Source organism: Homo sapiens, chromosome 15, assembly GCF_000001405.40.
Source record: "Homo sapiens chromosome 15, GRCh38.p14 Primary Assembly".
Classification (NCBI taxonomy): domain Eukaryota; kingdom Metazoa; phylum Chordata; class Mammalia; order Primates; family Hominidae; genus Homo; species Homo sapiens.
Window position 1 is genome coordinate 31021700 of NC_000015.10, and position 22003 is coordinate 31043702.

Here is a 22003-nt window from a genome sequence, read left to right on the forward strand (position 1 = left end):
ATTAAAAAAAAAAAAAAAAAAGACAAAACACTTTAATCCATATCCACAAATCTGACAAGAAACCACTTAATCCAGAAAGTTTTGGGGGAATCAGAAAATGCTATTATAGGTTTAGCTCATCTAAGACCCATAGCTTCTTAAGCACAAGGCCAACTACACTTAAAATGTATAATTTATGAGTTATATCCTGCATATTGTGAAATGTCAGACATTAATAAAATGTATGTAAATGGAGGTAGACGATATAAAAAAAGCAGAGAAGAGGCAACGTACCCCACATATTTCAAAATCCTATAGTAATATATTTGATAATTTAATATTAAGTTTGGTGTTAAGCTTCCTTGAAGCCATGGAAAAAAGGAAAACACACTGGATAACATAATTCTCATTGAGAAAAGGAAGTTGGGTCTCTGACAAAATTTTGTCAGGAAAGATTCTTTCTAGCCCAATTGCTCTTGAACCTGTGAACCTGTGATAAGGGATGCTGAACCACAAAGAGAACAGTGTGCTCCGTAGTGGATGTGCAGAAGACACAGATAGCCTCAAATCTCCCAATGATAAGGACTCATGTTGCCAAATATTCTCCTGGAGCAATGAGGACAGAACACATGGGTTGACGAGGTCTACTTTGGCCATGCTGCCAGAAGTTGACCAGACATGGTGGCCCATGCCTGTAATCCCAGCATTTTGGAAGGCTGAGGCAGGAGGATAGCTTGAGCCCAGGAGTTTGAGATCAGCCTGGGCAACATAGTGAGACCCTGTTTCTACAAATAATAATAAAAAAGGAGTTGTTTATAAAATGTTCTTATCCCACCAGCCCTCATGGCTCTTTGATGTTATCCCTTTGAGCAAAAAGATGGTGCCAACACCAACACTTGTTATCCTTCCTGTGGCACAATCCTTTGGCTCTTGAGTCTGCTCCTACTTCCTTATAGTAAAACCAGTGTCTTGAACCTGGAGGGAGCATAGCTGGTTTCCTTTTTGATATTCCATGAGGGAACTCATTAAGGATGGGATAGAAATTTATATTCGAATCAGGAGAAAAGCTTTTAAGTCATCCATTCGTTCAAAAAAATCTCGAGGCTGAGGCAGGATTGCTGAGGCCAGGAGTTTGAGACCTGCCTGGGCAACACAGTGAGACTTCCTCTCTACTAAAATAAAAAATAAAAAAAATTAGCTGGGCGTGGTGGCACATACATGTATTCCCAGCTACTTCAGAGGCTGATGCAGAAGGCTCGCTTGAGTCCAGGAGGTTGAGGCTGTGGTGAGACCTGATTGTGCCACTGCACTGGGCACAGAGCGAGACCTTGTCTCAAAAACAAAAACAAAAACAAAAACAGAAACAAAAGTCTGGCTCCTACTATGTGGATATGTGCAGGCTCTAGGTATATCATGGTGGACCAAACCCAGACATGGCCCTGCCTTCATGCAGCTTAAGGCCTGAGGGTCCTGACCTAGTCTAAGGTGTGAGGTGGTGAAGTTTTCCATAAGGAATTGGCATTTGGGCAGAGATCCAAGGAAGAGGAGCAGGGAAGGAGGGTGAGGTGCATCAGACAGAGGGCACAGCCCATGCAGAGCCCCTGTGGCAGGAAGGAAGCAGTGCTTTGAGGAAATGAAAGAGAAATGGAATACAGAGCATGAAGGAGAAGATAGTGCATGGCAAAGCCAGAGAGAGGGCAGGGCCTTGCAGGCCTGAGGACAGTGGGGGCCACAGAGGGTTTTTCAGGAAAGCCAGTGCAGGAGGGAACAGGACCCCATGAGAGCTGACAGTGCAACATGGATTGAAACAGCAGAAACAAATATGGAGAGCTCAGGTAGGGGCAGCTACAGGAATGGAAGTGGAAAATGATGGAAGCCTGTACTAGGTGCGTTGGGGTAGGGATGAAAAAAATAAGTGGATCAGGATGTATTCACGAGGGGAAGTAAACAGAACTTGATGATTGTTAGTGAAGAAGAGGGAGGTGCCACAATGATTTGCCAGTTTGCTAACTGAGCTTAATGGCGATGCCATTCACAGAGACTGGAGTGCAAGTTTGGGAGGAGAACCCTGAGAGCAGGGCCCCTATGACATCTAAGTGGGCGTGGTTGGTAGGACTGACCCAGTGTTGTGTCAATCAATGCTGAATCGTATTGCAAATCTCATTGCAGGACTGAATGTTGGATCTTACAAAATGTTGGAACTTTTTGAGAAAAAATAAATGGTTAAATTGTTAGCATTTTATAGGTAAATTTCCAAACATTAGGAGAGAACCATGAATTTGGTTTCTGCACAGAAGCACTAAAAGCACCCTGCGTGGAGGAGAATGATTAATGGGTACCCATCCTGTGTGAACACGCCTGTAAAACTGAGTCATGAGAATTGGTAGCTCAGCTCTGAAAGCTACCAAGACAACAGGGAGACAAGGCAGGGGCTGACATGCTCCTAACCAGACCCTACAGACTGAATAGTGCTGGCGAAGACACGACCGAGAGAAGAGCAGGAAAATCATCAAATGGGAAATGGTGATGCAGAAAATAAAACTAATTTTATATAGAAAGAATATTAAAGAAATGGCAGAAATGCTTGAGTACTTCAAGTGTGATTTTTAAAGTAGTCACAGGTGCCCAAATAGCTACTTTTATTTCCATCCTCCCACCTTATCCCTTGCTTCTCAGCTGGCTTGGCTAAGAGGGAAGGAAAACTCCCTTCTCCTCAAGCCTTCTCCTCTTTCTGTCTTGGGCATTCACCTGTGAGTCAGCCTGACAAGGCCAAGGGAAATGGAGGGGCAAGAATGTGCTCCCATCGCTCCTGGGATCTCAGCCGAGGGAAACAGGAAGCAGCATGTTTTCTCTGCCCTACACACTTTCATCCCTATTACGTGTGCACAGAGCCCCCAGAGAAAAATGCAATTTGGTAGTGACCTGATAACCACACTCTTGCAGCTTTGGTCCAAGAATGGTAAAAATCCAAGGAATGCCGGGGAAGGGAGAGGGGGAGGCAGAGCAAAACAAAACACAATCTCCATTGTAAATGACTGGTTAAAATTACGTTCAAGTTAATGTCTAACTAAAAAGTGGAAATTGGATTACATGGGGTACCTTAACTTTCTCATGAAGAAATAATTTTTATACCTTGAAAGTTTAGCAATTACTGTTAAAGCATCAAAGAAACATTTCAAAGTTTTATTAAAAATTCACCTTGGTAAGGAAGAAAGGTGGTGCAGGTAACCCTAGAGTTTAGCTGGTTGGATTTGGTTGGGTCACAAGGTGACTGGGTCTAGGAGGGAACCGAGGCCAGGGACCCACAGTTGCCATCTCCCCTCCTGTGGGCTGGGGCAGAGTTCACTGGCCTCAACATGCACCAGGGAGACCTAAGGTGCATCTGTGAATTCTGTTGTAATTGTTTGGGAACTGTCAGCTGCAATATCTTTTTGAAGTCCCACCCTGTTTTTATGGCTCTCAATGTGTCTGTTAGGAAACTTTAATTCTGTGTACTCAAGGATAGAAAGCAGAGCTAGGCATGGCTCCTCTGAGCTCATCCTTCTGGCCACGTTGTTAGTGAAACCCTTTGGAACAGCGTGTTATCAGTCACCAAGATCTTTAGCAGGCTGAAAATGCTTTTAGTAAATGATAAAGGCTCTCAAAACTTACGTGATAAAAAGTGCAGACAGTGAAGGTCCATTGCTCCTGTCTACCCTTTGCCAGTTGCTCTTTCCTAGCTTAGGGTAGAGCAATACTACGAAGTTTGGAAAATGTCACCATTTCTGTACCTCGCGACCTGACTTCATTTACTCATTCACTGGTTCACACATCCTGCATTCATTCACTCTGCATTTATTAAGCATCACCGCGGAGATTAGGCTGACCTTGCTGGGTACTGCGGATGTGAAGGTGTCTGAAAGACACACCCTGCCCTAGTTTAGCGGATCCCACCCTCATGGGGCCAGACACCTCACCCCCCACCCTGCACCCCACCCCTCCCAGTTCCCACTCTCAGGGGAGCCCCAGGAGGGAGCCTTTTCCTCTGCCCTGTGAGGCTGGGAAAGGTGTTGCCAAGGTGCAGCAAGCAGCTAGGCCGGATGAGGAGGGCAGTCCCCTGGGGAGGACCATGCTCGCAAAGGGAAGTTAGGAACAAGAGCTGGGAGAAGGATGGCTTTCTGTAGCTTCCATTAACCTTGCGGAAACACCCCCACTTTGGGGTAGGGGGTGAAGGTAGTCAACTGTTAGGTTTTCTTTCGGCCCAGGATAAATAAATGTCATTCCCTTCTATATCCAATGCACAGTTATTACCTAGTAACTTTCTCACTATTTCGTGGGAACCACGTTAAAACCTAAAGTTTAAATAAAACAGGAGAACTCGGAGTGCATGTTTAAATGAACTCTGGCATCCCCCATAGAGTGGGGCGCCCGAGTCAGCAAACCCTTGGCTCACGGGCCCGCGGTGGGGACGCTACACGTACCTTTCAGAAGTGACCCGGATGCGCTCGTCGCTGGACGACTGCTGCTCATCCTCCTTCTCCCGGAAGTGCTCCTGCACGCACTGCTCCTCGAACTCATGCAGCCTCTTTAGCTCCTCGTCGCTAAGGAAGAGCTCTGTGTGAAGGGAGAAGTGTCGGCCACGTGAAAAACAAGAAGAATCAGTTTCGTGGCGTCAATGAGAATTTCACAGCCCCACTTTAATTAAGCTCTCTTCTCCGCCACTCCTAAGGCAGTTCGCCACTACTCCAATTGATTTTTATCTAAAAAGGGGTTGTCATACGCCCCAACCCTCTATCAGTTGGAGCCAAACGGCCCGCTTTTAAACATAAAAAACAAAATTACATTTACTGGGAAAGTAAAGCCAAGTAATATTTCCTGGAAAACTTTTTGCACTTATTTTTATGAATAGAGTCAAACGTATAGCATTATTTTCTCATTTTCTTTAGATGCAACAAATTAAGACGTTTTGAAAGGAGCATTGAATTTATATAGAAATTTACAGAGTAGAGTTATTTTAGAGAATTAGCTCAACTTCTGGTCTCTATGAGCTGGCTTTCCTAATATTAATTACTAACAAATTAACGAAACTAGAATAAAATGGGTACAAAATGAGAAGCCTTTTGAAAAGAACAGCAGTTGGACTGAGTGTGGTGCTTTTCACACGAGCAAGTAGTTGAGTGAGATTTCTGTGAGGATGTCCAATTTGAACACTATTTTGAAATCAGCCCAACTTAGAAATGAAGAGCCCTGCACATACTCAATCCACGATCCCGTTCCTCTTGGTCCCCTTCTCTCTTTTTCCTGCAGCGGCCGCTGAGACGCATAATGATGATGTAGATGTGGCTTAAAATGATCATCGGTGGGGGCAGGACTGGCCTGTCATGAAATGTCATAATCAGCTGATATCGCTGGAACTTCCACACCTGGTTGGATATTGATTTTACTTCAAAGAAGGTATTGCTTTAAAAAGAAGACATTTTTACAGTTAGTTATATTACTTTTTATAGTGATTTCCCAGAGCAGTCAAAGTTACTCACATTTAAGTGAAAATACTCAATGAGATGGCCTTTTAGTGCCCTTTAGTACTGATTCCTTGATTATCCAATCTTTTGGTTTATCCATCAATGTGGATTATCTGTGCTTAAGGACATTGTATTCATAAATAGCTAAGTGTAATAAATTGCTATGTACTGCTTTCTTGAAAAACCACACCACAATCTACTCATATACTCAGGAAATTTAATTTCCTATGTGTAGCGGTATAAGCCATTTAACTAAATGCTTTCACATGTTTAAACTTTCAATTCTGTCTAACAAGTAGATGACTACTTTTTTTTCAACTGAATTAATTAGTTATTGAACTTATTTGATTGAAGGTTCGTTATTTTGGACATGGGGTAGGTACAATCTTTGTCTTATTTTAGCTTCCAACAGGAAGCAGTAAGTGCATGATTTCATTGTCTACCAATACTGGGACCTTAGGAAAACCAGTTACCTTCCCTGACCTTAGTTTTCTCATCTCTCAAGCCAGAAGTTTGGACCAGGTTTTCTCCAATGCCCTGTTCAATTCTAAGATTGCATATTTCTGTGAAGGATTTTTCCCTCTATATTTTTCATCTTAGAAGCTAAAATCATTTTTTTCAATATTTATTGAGCATGGTCAACATACTCAACACAACATGCCAAATAGGCAGGTTTTATAAGAAACTCGATTTAACCCTTTAAGCCATTTTTTTCTTAGGCCATTTTATCTTGTATTCTATAAATGATCAGAAAAAAATGCTTTACTAGTATTACAGTAATTGTAACAGCTTATGAAACTCATATTGCCTTTTCCACCTCTGCTGATGAATAAAAAGCATGACTTAATCAAATATTCTGTACCCCAGGAGACTTTCATCTAAGAAAATATTTTCATTAGATTAAAATACATGCTAAAGTGTTAAAATACTAACCAAGATTAAATTTAAATGTATTTAAGTGTCAACTCTTGATTTATGAATACATTAAGACTGATTAAGTTTGAACAAAGAGACTGCAAAAATTGGATCTACTTAAAAACCCTAATGAAATTATCTGCAAATATATTGGTATCTTGGGAGCGTTCTGAGATTAAATGGAAAATCTGTACAGTAATAAATAATAAGCATGTGGTCATCGGCTGTGACACGTACTTGAACACAGCAATCAGCAGGTTCACCAGCAGGATGTTGGCGACCAGTAGATAGCACGCCATGAGTGCTGGAGTGAGCCAGGCGCCGGGGATACAGGGAGGAAGCCGCTTGCCCTCCTCATCATATAGGTTCTCACCACAAGGAGCTGAAAGAAAAAAATAGTTTTGTCTTTGCTTTTTACATATAATGAAAAGGATAAATATCTCTTACATATGTTTTTCAATACCTATTTCTTTTTTAATATGATTCTTTCTTATTTCATAAGCAATATTTTTTCCATGGGAAAAAATAAACTCTGTAGCCCCAGCTACTCGGGAGTCTGAGGCAGGAGAATGGCGTGAACCCGGGAGGCAGAGCTTGCAGTGAGCCGAGATCGAGCCACTGTACTCCAGCCTGGGTGACTGAGCGAGACTCCCAGTTGTCTCAAAAAAAAAACAACTCACACAAAGAAAAAAGTCAGAAACTCATATCTGCGCTCAGAGATAGTCATTATTTGTCATATTTCTAAACATTTTCCCATTTCTTTATTGTGGCTTTCAAATATAAAAGTCTTCATTTTTAAGCAGACAAATGTATCTTTATGTTTTTTCCCTTTATCGTTATCCATTTGAAAGTCATTGTGGCTTCTAATTATTTAACATCAGCTTATGTTGTCTTCTGGTTGTTTTCTTGGTTTCACTGATACATTAAATTTGAAAATATTTTTGTTATGTTGTATGGGTTAGGGATTTCCTCTACTTCCCAAATTGTTTAATCAACTGTTTTGGTGCCATGTTTGAAAAATAATCTTTTCTCCCTCTGCTCATTTGAAATGCAACTTTTTATCATAGGGGGTCTATTTCTCCCCTAAAAAAATAGGGTGATCCCAACAGTGAATTTGTGGTTCTCTTTACTTTTTACTGACAGCTTAAAAAGTACTGGCACCAAAAAACAAGAGAAGTATTTGAAAACAGTTTAAGACTACTAGTAATCAGCTAAGGAAAAGGTAATTGAAAAACACATTCCATAGACTAGAATAATCAATTCCATGTAAACTTACGATTAATTTCCATGGCGTAGACTACATGACGATTGGAAAGCAGGATTTTTGTTTTGTTTTGTTTTGACAGGAGGGGAGGAAAGAAAATAAGATGATGGTTGAGAGAAAAGTAAAACAAGTGGTTTAACAACATAACTGTTTTGCTGTGAAGAAATGCAAATATTTTAAGCTTGGGAAATATTGATTCACACTTAGAAACAGTGATCTGTTTAGAAGAATTACATACATTAATCATTCTAGAAAATATATATCATGGATATTTATTTTACCCTGTGTCATAAGCGAGAGCAAAAGCTCACTAGTTAAAAATACTGTGAAAAAGACATGATGTTACTGGCAGATGATCAGGTTAACCAATCACGCGCTCCCTATATTCCAACACAAACACCTCATAAGCACAAATAACTACAAAATTATTAGTTAATAGATCAAGAATCAAAAACCTACATTTAATTATGTTACTGAGAATAGCACAGCCTAAAGTTTACCTCTTTACCTTCTCTCATAACCCAATTTAATTTAAAAAAAAAAGAGCTCAACAATAAAAATACTACAGTTTATGCCTGGAATTCAGGAACTTTTAACGTGTATGTATATCTACCTAAACTAATATTCTTTTGAAATCAAATTAGATTTTTATGTTCTGGCTTACCAAGCTACTAACACACTTCAATAGTTGACTTTGTGATACTTGCAATAATGATATGGTCAGAATGACATTATAAAAGTTAGAAAGAAGCTACTGCATGAGCTGGTTATTGTCTAACCTAGAGGCAGTAGATATACACTGACAGCCCTACATTCCATATGAGAGGAAGATGATAAAAACTTTCTATTCCCAAATAGCAGAGCTCTGGAAGCAGCAGACATGCTATTATAGCTGATGCTTTATGATAAATCACAACATGCAAATGAAAATGTTGGTCCTGAAATGGAAATGGGACTAAAAGTGCCTCCTTCACTGGTGGAACATTTATTCAACTGTCCTGGTAAATAGTGTACAAGAACATTTGAGCTTTACATTCCTTCAATCCAGAAGACACCAGCTCAGCCTGCAGAGGAGCTGGGCCTACATTCCCCAGAAATCTGTGCAGGATCATAGCCCATTTCCTCTACTAACATCCAGATTATTTTTGATAATACAAAATAGCACTCTAGTAGTGAAGATGAAATGGGTATGAAATGGGTAGCTATGTGGAAAATGGGCTCTGATGGCTTTAAGAAGAGGATGGTGGGAAGTATCAGTTACTCTGCTCTGTTCACTAGTTCATTCTACTGGAAAACACTATCAGCCTTATCCTGGGGTGGGGAGATACTGGGTTGAAGAAAAACTAGGCTATTGGCATTAGAACTGCATTCATGTGACACGATGTCCATCAGGTCCAGCTCAAGGGAATTCTAGTGAATTATTTTTAGAATAAAAGAAATGACTGATGTCTGAAAATCCATGTTCCATAATTTGTTCTTATTTCTTTGTAAAATAATTTGATGCCTATGGTGGAGTGACAAATATTTTTTATTTCCAAATTAATACATGTTCTTCCATTAATTTGGAACTGATCATCTGCCTCAGAAGCAGGGAAGAGAATCTTACTATGAATTCTACTCTTACGGTCTATCTGGTCTGCAAACACCTCTCCATAGATCATCCAGTAGGGCATGTAGAAGATGTTTCGGGCCAGTTTCCAAGAGGGCTTCTCCTCTGGATGCAGAATGGCTTGACGGGCTACTCCGAAACTCATGAGCACGACCAGCATGATGACCACAAAGTACAGCATGTCGATCATCTGAGTAAGGAGAACATTTGTCTCTCACTGTCTTGGCTTGTGGGCCAAGTTCACCCTGGCTCATTATATTGCTGTCTCCAATTAAGCACTTCACGAGTGCTTAATTAGGACGAAGAAAGCCTCTTTCCCTTCCTTTCTTCCCATCCCTGGGAAGGCTTTTTCCTACTCCATGCAATGCTTTATGCCTAGAATGTCTTCTAGAACATTGCTATCTTCATCTGCTCTTCATCCTTCTTGCTTCTTCTCTGTTGTTGCCCATAAACACATGTCCCTTAGTAACTACAACTGCAAATGGAGAAAGGGAAGAATTAGAAGAAAAGATGGGAGTTTGTAAGGGATGCTAAGGAGGAAGAGGAGCAGATACCTAAGGAAATAAAACGATAATGAATTGAGAGTATAGACCAACATTTATTCATTCACTACACAAGTGCTGAGCAATGCCCTGGTTACTGTGGATACTAAACTGGTATAATTCCTAATTTTGAACATCCCTGAAGATGGAGGCCCTTGCTGGAATTTACTAAAGCATACTTCCCTTAGCTCAAAACCACTTGCCCTATAAAGAGTCCTTCCTAAATGTAGGAGGCTTGCTTTCTTCTTGTACCAGTCCTAACACTGAAGCTCTTTTAGGTAATGTAAGGATGACCTGCTGGTTCATTTTCAGTTTCATATTCTCTGGCCTGTTCTGGAGTATAAGTCATCATGGTCTAATCACATGGACTTCCTGTGTTCACTCCAGGCCAGAGTAAATGAGCTGAAGATCATCTGGAGTACAGGTTGGGGATTGGCCCTGGGCTCCCTTTGTCTCCGGCTTCTACCACATGTTAGGAGGTTATAAATCAGGCGGGGTTTTTTTTTTTTTTTTTTTTGGCCATATATATATACATTCTGAAGTGGATGTAGTCTCATAGAACATCAAATCCATGTCCCTGTACTAAAGAATGCTGAAAATATGTTTCCAGCCATCAAGAAGTAAATATTTTGAGACATCTATTTTGCTACTGAATTCCTATTGCATCAAAAATTGATGTTCTCTTATGTCCTGGGAAAGTGAAGTAAGCTCTTACAAAAAAACGAGGCTATTTTCTTTTATATTGCTGTCAAAATAGACTCATTAATAATAAATCAGAAGGAATAAAAAACAAACGTAATTAGTCACCCTACAGTTGAGATATGGTATGGAAGAAGGGAGACAGTATATATTGAGTACCTGATATATATTGAGAGAGATATACATGTGTACGTGTGTATGTATACACACATATATACAGTGAATGTATATACACTATATATGTATATATGTTATGTATATATACACAGTAGGCCCTCAACTCATGTTTTTCTATTGGATTTTATTAAGTTATCAACATGTAGGAGAACTGTGTATCTTAAAGCAAAGAATATTTCCTTTAAAAAGCCAACTGCAAAAGAAAAACCAAATGAAATTGAAGGAAGCCATGCCCAAGGCCTGTTCTTATGTCCTAACTACAGCCAAAGTCTCTCTGGATACCCACAGGATGCCACTACTAACCATCTTTCCAATCATCATCACGTATGGCCCCAGATACTTGTTGACACCAAAGATGTCCAGGACACGGATGTACCAGAAGATGATATCCACACAGTAGATCACCCGGCCATAGCCCATGTAGGGCTGGTTCTGTAGGCGAAGAATTGCTCCAATCATGAATGTGGAAATGGCCACGAGATCTGTGATGTTCCAGTACTCCTGAAGCCAAACTTTGATTTTCTGGCTGAGTTTGCCTGGTTCTGACATGAGGATCTGAAAACAAACCCCAAAGAACAATAAACTGAGATGCCGTATTAGAAGTCTTGTCTTAGAATCTTGGAACAATAAGACTGATGGAACATTCCAGGTCATCTGGCCCCTTTCCTACTCAAAACGTTTAAACACTCTTCTTCTCAGGCAGGGAGAGATATCTAGAAAGGGAAATTCCACGGAATCCTCCCTATTCTTAGATTCAGGGTTTTACAAACTCAGGAAATGCCTTCTAAATTATGTCCTTCTGGCTGTAATTAAAGCAGCTGCATTTTGATTTCTTTTTTAATTATCTGGACACGTGCCTGTTACTCCACATTCCAGAGTCACACAGGATGAAAACTCTAGAGCATAGATGAGCCCCACGTGGCCCCACAGAGGGGCAGTCCACCCAGTGGAGATGGCAGAATACCACTAGGAAATGTTTTGATTTGGCAAAATTCCTTTGCAACTTAGACATGAGAAATTAGGGGAAAGTTAGACCAGGTTTTCCCCTACTTGAGATATTATCCTTTCAAAATCACTGCTGCTTAAGGGGAGACTTCCACAGAGTAAAATGGAAGATATTTAGCAAGCAGCATGCACAGGCGTGCGCAGAGCCTTCCCAATGGCACAGCTGTCTGTGGTACCACACTGGGATGGAGGGTTGCCATGCCAGGTGGTACCCCTTCAGTTGCAGAGGTCTTGGGGATCTCTGTGGTAGGATGGGGCAGTGGCTATCTGTCAGCCCACACAGAAGGGATTCACTAGTTTAACAACCCATGCACACTAGCCGATGGCCACCCTCTCTCTCCTATAACTGGGGGCAGGTTTCTGGAATAAAGAACAGTGTCTCGGTGTATGGTGGACCCTCAGCAAGGCCAGGACGGCACAGCGATGGTAAAGCAGGCCGCTCAGGAAATACCAGTTGCAGCACCTGCAGAATTTGAATGAGGCCCAGCTAGAAAAGGAACAGTAGTAGAAGGTGGCAAGTATAATTTTGGATTCAGTGCTCTTTTGGTTTTTCAGGCTCTAATTAGACCGATGCCATCAGATTCCCTCTATCTGGACTAGGTTAATAATGTTTTTCAGTTCAGTGAAAGGGTCAACAATTACTGCAAAATAATAGTATTGGTTGTATATCAGTTGGAGAAAGGATATGAAATGATGCTGTGGGCTTTTTCAGCTCAAGTTGCTTTTTTGCTTGGATACATGCTTTCTCTTTATAAGCAAATTTAGTGAATTAAAACTTCTGAATGATATTGGAAAGGGAAGTATCCGGCCTATCTTTCCTCTGCTGTCTGCAGAGATTGCTTACTGGGAGTTACATTTTCACTCGAGCTCTCTGGGATAACGAGTCATATGTGAGATGGTATCTGTTCTTTTGCAATACTGAGTTGAAAATCCTGTTCCCTCTGTTTGCAGCAAACGCTCTAGGCCCCTCCCATATCCCCTGGAGCTTTTCCCCAGGTGGGCTTGCCCACCCCATCTGCTGCAGGTGCTGCTGTTAGGCCCACACCTGCCCCCTTCTGGGAGGCTTGCTCTTAGATGCTTGGAGCCATGTCTCTGGTGGGTACCAATGACAAATTGAGGTGGGGCCCAAAGGTGAGACAGACTCCACAGTGTCCAGTCCACTCAGAGCCCCCTACAGGATTAGGCCAAGGACAGGGTCCACCTGAAGCCACACCTCACTTAGCTCCTTTTCCTCCTGACTGGGAGCCCTCCCTTCATAAATCTCCTGCACAAGAGTCCAGAGATAAAAGAGATGGCATTTTTCCTGTAACTTTGGGCTTTGGACCACACTGTGCAAGTGTCTCTTGTATCTCTCTTTCTCCCTCTGATCCCAAATAACTAAGCCAAAATTTGTGCCCAGTTGCGGTAATTGGTTTATCTCAGGTCGCTGGCAGCATTTGCTGATGCTTTCCTATGCATTCAAACCTGTTTTCATTATTAAATATCTTTATTTTGCCTTGTGTTTTGATTTGCAAGTTCAAGTTCATTCAAGATGTATACATCTTAAATAAAGAAATGGAATAAACTTGGGATTGTGATACCTCCAAAAAAAGTCCCACAGCATGTGTAATTTGTTTTTTTGTTTTTGTTTTCGAGATGGACTCTCACTCTGTCACTCAGGCTGGAGTGCAGTGGCGCGATCTCGGCTCATTGCAACCTCTGCCTCCAGGGTTCAAGTGATCCTTCCACCTCAGCCTCCTGAGTAGCCGAAATTACAGGCAACTGCCACACGACCGGCTAATTTTTGTATTTTTAGTTGAGACGGGGTTTCACCATGTTGGCCAGGCTGGTTTCGAATTACTGCTATCTCAAGTGATCCTCACACCTCAGCCTCCCTAGTAGCTGGCATTACAGGCGTGCACCACCACGACTGGCTAATTTTTTTTATTTTTAGTAGAGGCAGTGTTTCATTCACCCTGTTGGCCAGGCTGGTTTCAAATTCCTGACCTCAAGTGATCCATCCGCCTCAGCCTCCCAGAGTGCTGGGATTACAGGCATGAGCCACCACGCCTGGCCCAACATGCATAATTTGCATGAAACGTTTTTTCAGTAAGGAGCCATATCTGCATTTGCAGTCAGCGGTTAGTGGGCTGGGGGAGGCCTTTGGAGTAGCCACCTCTCGTATCTTCTCTAACGCCAGGCTCACGATGTAGGAGATGACGATCCACTCCTGGAGGGACGGCCAGCCATCCATCCGCACCAGGATGACGTAGTTAAACAGCAGCAGGTAGCCCAAGTATGATATCTGAAAGAAAGACAAGCTGTTAGCCGTGTTTGGGGGAATCACATAGCAATCAAATTTTGAAACGCTGTTTTCTTTCAGGTTGACACATCTAAAAGAATCTTTGTTTCCAACTGGACTGACTCATTGAGAGGAAACCTTCACTGCACCTCACCAGTGCAGACAGAAGACCTGGAGGCAGGACGGGAGGCATTTTATACTTCAGCACGATATGGGCCCTGACTTTTCATTTTCTACATGGAGACATATTGGTTGGTGCTGTCATCCTCATGGGGAAACTATGAAGTTGCAAACATTATGATAACGGGAAACTTTTAATAGTTTGCTGGAGTGTCTTCTACATTCCTGGAAACTGGAAAATGTTACTTACTCCTCCCTGCCTCAGAAATTTCCTTCCTGATTCTTTCCACAACTGGGAAGTTAGATGAGAGGACATGTGGATGAGTTGCCCACCCAGATATGCGAGCTGACCCTAGAGTCCCCTCAGTTACTGGTGGCATGTCCAGGATTTGCTGTGGCCACAGCAGGGCCCCTATCTCTGTGGCAGGGAAAGAGGCAGAGCTGGAGGTGGCAGTGGGTGAGGCAAAAGCGGGGAGTTAAGGGGTTGGGGGAGGACGTCTGAAGTAGATCACCTGTCCCCAGTGATTCACCATGATGCCAAGGAAACTTAAGCTTCTGGGTCCCTCACTGGCACAGGCCCCTGTGGAAGGCTTGGGGGAGGGGTGCTAAAAACTGAGTATTTGTAACTGGGCAGTTTGGTTTTTTTTTCTTTTTTTTCAAGATCCTGCCTCCCAAGCCTATAAGCTTTACCAGGAGAGAGGCAGGCCCCACCCCAAGATCCACTATCCACTCTTTGAAGAAAGATTAGAGCCATGTTCTCAGACTTTGGGCTGCATCCTAATCCCTGCGAAGCTGCACAATGTGTGATGACTCCACCCTCCACCCGATCCAGAGGGTCTGGGGTGAGACCCAAGGCTGAGAGGCCTCGATGGCTTCCTGGCCCCATCTCCGGCAGCAGCCTCTATGGCTGGGCTCTCCTGCAGGCTGGGTGCACCCCAGGCCCTCAGATGGTTCTAACCAGAATCGATGGGCAGCAGTGACTTCGACTGTATCATCAATCTTGGCTGCCACAAGGTTGGGTGTCCAGGCCCTCAGCTGACCCTTGAGGTGGGCCCCCACACAGAGCTTTGCTCTGCCCCCAGCCCACCCTCATTCATCGCCCAGACCACGGCCAGGGACCCAGCTCCTCATGTCCCATACCCTGCTCTCACCTCATCACCAGTGCAACCACAGCACCGAGGCCTGCCTGGCGGGGGCTGTGGCTTGATGCTTGGGATTTCATGAGAAGTCTCTCTCCTCCCGACTGACGTGGTTGCACAAGCCACAGTGTGCCTGGCCACCCCCACTGGGACCGCCTGCAGCTCGGCCATTTCCCCCAGAGGCGCTCTGATCTGCCCTCCTGCCTCCTCTCCTGTTCTTGTTAGTAGAGAGCCACACTCTGGGAGCTGTGTAGACCCAGGGCCTCAGAGAGGGCTGGAGGATGGCTTGCCAGCCAAGCGGGTCAGTTTGGTGAGCACTTCAGAATGAGACGCCTTGATTTGTTTCCCTATTCCAAGAGTTTACCATCTGGATTTAGCCATGCCCTTGTAATGACCCCACCAATTTCATGAAAAATGGAATCTGTGAATTTGCTCTTTAAATCACTAGTCATCTCTGTTCATTTAAAAATAAAATTATAGTTCCTTAAGTTTGTATTGCTAAAGGCATCAGAAGAATTCATCTTAAGCAAATAGCATGTGACTATTTTGCCTTATGAGATGGTGTATTTGGGACTAGGATGGCCATATATCAATATGTGACAGGATATCGAGATCCAATGTTAGCCAGAGATCTCAATTAGTCCCAGTTTTGTTCTCATAATTCATTTTAATTCAGTGAATTTTTAGATACTTTTTTAAGCCCTTGAAGTTTTTCTTGATTCCAACATATCAAAGCATTCAAAATATACTGAATGTCAAATGTTCAGGAGGAGGCCTCACTGTGTAAAACCAGAACTTGACAATGGGCGCGTTATAGAATTCACAGATCTTTGTTCCGATGGGAATACTTCTCTGTTTTTTGTGCTCGTTCTCCTCATCCCCCTTTCTTGAGCCAGCATCTGCATTTGCATCCTGGAAAACAGAGCACAGCACATGACAGGCAGGTGGCTAAATGGGAAATGCAAGGCACTCCGGCACACAGGCACCATTAGAAAAACACAATTCCAAAAATACCTTTAACCAGTGAGATTTCTCAATCTGTGGTACAAGAAATCTCAACAATTTTGAAAACAAGATTACACTGATATGCTTAGGGTCAAGTGTGTCACTGACCGTATTTTCCTCTTCTTTTTCTTTGCCATCCTCATTTTCCTTGGATGTTTGATACGAGAAATCATCATATGTGCGAAATTCCAAAAACAAGATGGTGGGGGGTAGAAGAATCCCCATGATAACCTACGGAACATAAATTGATTTTTTAAGCTGTGGCAATTCTAGAAAAATGTCCCAGCATAGTTAAAATTTTTAAATTATGACCTTCAACATTATTCAATAACCTAGGAGCCCTGGAATGTTATCCCTGGTCTGACGTTCTGTGACATGTGCTTGGTAAATTAGTAGAATTGCAGGCAGTAAAACAATTTAAGAACATACACTAAATTTTTTAGATGAATGGCAAACAGCACTGTTGGTGATCCTAACTTTAAAAAGAAAAGTCTTGGCTGGCATGGTAGCTCACACCTGTAATCCCAGCACTTTTGGGAGGCCAAGGTTGGTGGCTCATATGAGGCCAGGAGTTTGAGACCAGCCTGGCCAACATGGTGAAACCCCATCTCTACTAAAATACAAAAATTAACTGGGCATGGTGGTGCACGTCTGTAATACCAGCTACTTGGGAGGCTGAGGCACAAGAATCACTTGAACCCAGGAGGCGGAGCTTGCAGTGAGGCGAGATCGCGCCACTGCACTCCAGCCTGGGTGACAGAGCAAGACCCTGTCTCAAAAATAAAATAAAATAAAATAAAATAAAAGTCCTTACATGAAATTTCGAGGAAGGCAAATCTTTAAATTAAAATAGAATAATATAAATAAAATATAATACCTCTAGTGAAGTAGGCCAAAAGTATTTTATATAGAAATAACTTTGATATAAATGAGATTATGTGAACTAAGAGTTGCAAGGCTAATGTGACTCAGAAAAGAAGGACTAACATGGGCTCGGCCTAGACAACAAAAGGATGCCCGGATGCCCAGGCTCATAGATAGAAAACATGCTTCCCCTTTTTTTTTTTTTTTTTTTGCTTGGACTACCTGCTAAACTAATTCTTCTGCATGGGAGGTTGAAGGTGTATAGTTTGAGTCTTTGCCTGTCTTAAACAGATATTCTTTTCTCATGCTTTTTGAATAGTTGGCCTGGGTAGAAAATATTCCAGGCTCCAAATGCCTTCCCTTCAGAACCGTGAAGGCCTTACTCCAGTGCTGCCTTCTGGGTTTCAGTGTTGTTGATGAAAAGTCTGATGCCAATTTGATGTTCATCCCCATGTAGGCGATCTACTTTAGTTTCCTGAAAACCTTAAAGAGCTCTTTATTCTTGGAATTCTGAAAACTGTTTATTAATATCCTAAGTTATGTATAACATCAGCTTAGCATATTATATAGAATTAGACAGTTAAGCATAACATTCACATTTCTAAGAAACAAAGTGCCCTCTATTTGCCAGAACCATACTACACAGTGTAACTCGTATAGTCTTTTCTTTATCCTCATGGAGAGCTCTAAAATAGATATAATACTGCCATTAGATTGCTAGGTTATCTGCAGATTAGAATCTCTTCTCAAGATAACCTAGTAGTTAACAGCAGTAAACCCAAGAGCTAGGGTTTGATTGCAATATAATTTTTCCCCCACTATATCTTTTTCAAACCCTTTCGTAGCTTCCTATTTTCTTGTAATTTTCTCCCATGTCATGAAAACATCACTAGTTAAAATAATACACAATTTCAGAGTTATAAGGGAATCTAGAAACAGAGTTCCAGTCCCTCCTTTAATGGTGGGTAGACGACCCAACCAGGGTGCGTGTGCATACTGAGTTATGGGGGGCTCCATTAGGAGACTCTGACTGTGGCAGGGGTTTGTGCAGCCTGGTGGGCTGGTCAGGTGGGGCTCTGGAGTTAGAGCACCTGAGTGTAGGTTCTGATCCCATGCTGACCAGCTAAGATCCTAGGCATGTCACTTCATCTCAAAGCTTCAGATTCCTCATCTATAAGACAATGATTGTCATGGCGTCTCCCTCAGGGGGTTGCTAGAAGGAATAAATGAAATAAGCCACAGAAAGTGCTCAGTTCAGCCTGGCAGAGAGTCACTTGTCACTGTCACCCTGGCCCGCCTCGCAGCACGTTGCACGCACCTTCAGGCCGGGGTTCTTCCGCATCCGCAGTCTTCCCATCCACATATCGGTCAGCAGCATCTGGCTGCAGGTGTGAGCAATGAAGTCCCGGTGTTTGGCTGCCACGGCCAGTTTGAGGCAGGTCGAGTTGCTCCAGTTTTTCAGCTCGTAGGTCAGGAGTTTCATAGCGATCTGCTCGTCATGCTTATAGGACTGGTCTAATAACTCCAAAGCAAGCTGGCCGAAGTCTCTGGGGGGAAAGAGAAGGGACCAGGGTGAAGCCACAGTGGCCGCAAGCTGTTTCTTAGACAGGCATATCCACCAAGGACTTATGGAGCCACGGGACACAGTATCCTTCACTGGAGGGGCTCTGAGGTTCTCTGCAAGCAAGAAGCTCCAGGGATGTGTCCCCAAAGGGGGAAGGCCAGGGACAGTGGCTGGGAGCTCAGTCAGGAGGTGGGCTGACTGCTACTGCTGCAAATGGAGCTGTAGGTTGAGACCACATCTGCCCCTCAGACCCCAGGGACATAGAGACGAGAAGACAAAGTCCCTTCCCTCAAGTTGTGCACAGATCAGGGAGGCAGATAGAAAAGACAGCAAAAGTGACTTCAAATGCAGCACCTGTGGAGTTGGAGGCCACAGTAGCGGGGCTGCTGGTGGTGGTGGTGGCGGGAGGTGGACACTGAAAGGAGTCACAGGAGGGCTGGTGGGTGCCGGCTAGGTTCTTAGTTGATCTGGGTGCTGGTGGTGCCGGCATGTCCCACCTGTGGACTGTCACCAGCTGGACATTTCGGATGTATGCCTTTCTCTGCCCGTGTAACACTTCACCATCACAGTGATTACAGAGAAGCCAACATTCTCAGTGCTATGACAGGGATGAGGCATAGTTGTCATAGGGCCCAGGCCAGAGGGCGTCTAATGACTGATGGGGACAGTGATAGAAGTTGGGGGGCATGGAGAAGGTGGCACAAGCTGAATTTTGAGCATAAAGTTTACTGCCTTCCCCACATGATCCAGATTCAAATATTTGGCAATAACCATAAACGTTCCAAGTTCCTTCAACTTTTTTTTTTTTTGAGATGGAGTCTCACTCTATCACCCAGGCTGGAGTGCAGTGGGGCAATCTCGGCTCACTGCAAGCTCCACTTCCTGGGTCCACGCCTTTCTCCTGCCTCAGCCTCCCGAGTAGCTGGGACTACAGGCGCCCGCCACTACGCCGGGCTAAAATATATTTTAGTAGAGACGGGGTTTCACCATGTTAGCCAGGATGGTCTCGATCTCCTGACCTTGTGATCCGCCCACCTCGGCCTCCCAAAGTGCTGGGATTACAGGCATGAGCCACCGTGCCCGGCCAGGAGAACCAATTTTACCAGAGCCTCACCTGCTGGTTTGATCAGAGCCTGACTGACCCAGGGGAAGCACGCCCAACTCCAGCCCCCTCTAGCCATCCTGTCCCACCTAAGCATGGAGCAAAATCAGAAACACCTGTGAAGGTCACAGTCCAGGTCACAGTCCAGGGCACAGGCTCATTAATGTTGTATTCCTTGTTAGTGTGTGTTTCCCTATGGAAATTAATTTCACCATCTTTGCATTAAAATTGTGTTTCAAGGAAAGGAAAAAAATTGTGTTTCAATTTTGATGCAAAGAGAAGGCAGTACACAAAAACAACGACAGTCCAAAAACACCTCTGAGAGACAGAAAGAAAAATGCTGACATGACAGACGAAGTGATTTGTGAACAAGCTTTAACCACCATTGTCCTTAAGTGAGAAGTACATTGGCCACCCCTCCCTGCAGAGACAAGTACTCAGGATGGTCATCTCTCCTGGCCTTTAAATCCCCGCTAGACACTAACTTGGAATTGTTATCCAAGTCCTGGGAGATGTCATCCACCAGATCACTCTCGGAGGACTCGTGGGCCATGGCCTTGTAGAGCTTGCAGGCCACCAGGGCCTTGGCCATGCTCTCTTCCCCTCGCTGCCAGAGGAACACTGCCATTTTCTGGCGTTTCATCAGCACTGCCCACACCATCAGCTCGTGGAAGGGATACTGGAACCGACTCACGGCAGGGTCGTCCACATCAATGTCGATCTCTTCCTCCTTTTTCTTCTTTTTCTTTTTCTTCCCTTTAGCTGGAGGCTCATCATCCTGAGGGGAGAAACATGGATTTCATGGTTTTGCCATAAAAGTATGCAACAAAGAGTTCCAGAACTCCTGGAGAAAGGGAACCCTTTCTGTCAGAGGTAATAAAGAGACTTCTGAAGTACATCTTACATTTCCACTCCGCATATGAATTCTTTTGAAAAGATGCACACGTTTATTATGATAAGTAAACTATCTAAAACCAAATGAACTGAGAAGGCATACTGTTTGGATAACTTGCACCCCTGGGTCAGCAGTTTTACTTAGAAGCCTTTAACTGAGGCGACGCTGCAAAACTAAAACAAACAAGCAAAACCTCCCCCAAAACTAAACACAAATAACATCATGGAAGAGGGAAGGTCTACAGTTTATTTCCTCAGGGAGGTCTTCAAATGTAGCAAAAATAACACTCGTTTGCCAGACGTAGCTGAACCAGAAATTAACAGGAAACATGCAAAAGGGGCTAGAGAAAATGTTTTAGGTTTCCCTCCAGTGTTTTAAGAAAGCAAACATTCCTCTTTTAGTGAGCACTGTCCTTTTCCCCATATGGTGCAAAAAGGAAGGCCAATCTTTCCCATTTCCTAAAGGGGTTATGAGAACTGTTCTGTGAATGGATCAGGATTCATAAGAAAGGCAGATCGTGATTGGGAAAATTGGCATGAAATATGTGGGTCTCAGACTACTCCAGGCTAATACTTTAGTATTCAATGGAATAACAGAAACAGATGTTTGTTCTTTTGCAAACAGCGTTCCCATCAGTTATCTTCTTTTATTCTTACAAGGACTCTGAGAGGTTGTGAATTCCTTCCATTCCCTCAGATTAGGAAGCTGTGGCTCAGTCTGAATAACTCAGCCACATTCACAGAGTTGGAGTGGTCTGGAGCATGGGGAGTTATAGGAGGTATCCTGGCTCTCCAATTCCTATCTCAGGTTGTTCACTACTGACCCAATTTGTTTTGTTTTGTTTTGTTTTTGAGACGGAGTCTCACTGTGTCGCCCAGGCTGGAGTGCAGTGGCACCATCTCGGCTCACTGCAAGCTCTGCCTCCCGGGTTCATGCCATTCTCCTGCCTCACCTCTGGAGTAGCTGGGACTACAGGTGCCCGCCACCACGCCCGGCTAATTTTTTGTATGTTTAGTAGAGACGGGGTTTCACCGTGTTAGCCAGGATGGTCTCGATCTCCTGACCTCGTGGTCCTCCCGCCTCGGCCTCCCAAAGTGCTGGGATTGTAGCCATGAGCCACCACGCCCGGCCACGACTGACCCAATTTTTATAATATCATAATGAGCTGTGATAACATTTTAATGGAAAATATAGTATCTTGACTCCAATTTAAATATCTTTGTTCTAATTTTCTAATTTTGTCACAGTGAAGCTACAGTCGCAGTGATATGGGAAAGGTTCATCTACACAGGTTAAAAATGAACATCGTAGAAATGTTTAGATAAACATAGATTTTCAAGAA

At 43.4% G+C, this 22003-nt stretch overlaps 1 protein-coding gene and 1 long non-coding RNA gene across 6 annotated transcripts in view, besides 2 other annotated features; one reads left to right on the forward strand and one right to left on the reverse strand.

Annotated features, from left to right (window-relative positions):
* TRPM1 (transient receptor potential cation channel subfamily M member 1) overlaps window positions 1–22003 on the reverse strand; it is a 160096-nt gene that overhangs the window by 20635 nt on the left and 117458 nt on the right. For all 3 annotated transcript variants that reach the window (NM_001252020.2, NM_002420.6, NM_001252024.2), the window contains 11 exons: window positions 20252–20544; window positions 18419–18647; window positions 16345–16467; window positions 16012–16143; window positions 13847–13975; window positions 10990–11241; window positions 9284–9458; window positions 7672–7692; window positions 6633–6777; window positions 5216–5418; window positions 4440–4572 (listed from right to left, as the gene is read on the reverse strand). In NM_001252020.2, the coding sequence (NP_001238949.1) occupies window positions 4440–4572; window positions 5216–5418; window positions 6633–6777; window positions 7672–7692; window positions 9284–9458; window positions 10990–11241; window positions 13847–13975; window positions 16012–16143; window positions 16345–16467; window positions 18419–18647; window positions 20252–20544 (1835 nt within the window). The remainder of the gene's footprint in view (window positions 1–4439; window positions 4573–5215; window positions 5419–6632; window positions 6778–7671; window positions 7693–9283; window positions 9459–10989; window positions 11242–13846; window positions 13976–16011; window positions 16144–16344; window positions 16468–18418; window positions 18648–20251; window positions 20545–22003) is intronic.
* Window positions 2707–3001: an enhancer, noted in NCBI's record as "tiled region #8183; K562 Activating non-DNase unmatched - State 22:ReprW". NCBI's record gives its function as "activates a minimal TATA promoter and a strong SV40 promoter by Sharpr-MPRA in K562 cells {active_cell/tissue: K562}" and the evidence as "EXISTENCE:reporter gene assay evidence [ECO:0000049][PMID:27701403]".
* Window positions 4182–5381: an enhancer, noted in NCBI's record as "BRD4-independent group 4 enhancer chr15:31318084-31319283 (GRCh37/hg19 assembly coordinates)". NCBI's record gives its function as "activates an origin of replication core promoter dependent on BRD2, P300/CBP, MED14 and CDK7 cofactors, and independent of BRD4, by STARR-seq in HCT116 cells {active_cell/tissue: HCT116}" and the evidence as "EXISTENCE:reporter gene assay evidence [ECO:0000049][PMID:35650434]".
* Window positions 4489–15719, forward strand: TRPM1-AS1 (TRPM1 antisense RNA 1). Of its 3 annotated transcripts, XR_932056.2 has the most exons (5): window positions 5173–5412; window positions 13871–13957; window positions 14054–14223; window positions 14754–15139; window positions 15460–15719. It is a non-coding gene; the product is annotated as a TRPM1 antisense RNA 1 (long non-coding RNA). The 3 variants fall into 3 exon arrangements; XR_932055.2 differs by lacking the exons at window positions 14754–15139; window positions 15460–15719 and adding an exon at window positions 4489–4619 and having other exon boundaries at window positions 5266–5412; window positions 14054–14558; XR_007064555.1 differs by lacking the exons at window positions 13871–13957; window positions 15460–15719 and having other exon boundaries at window positions 5325–5412; window positions 14754–15448.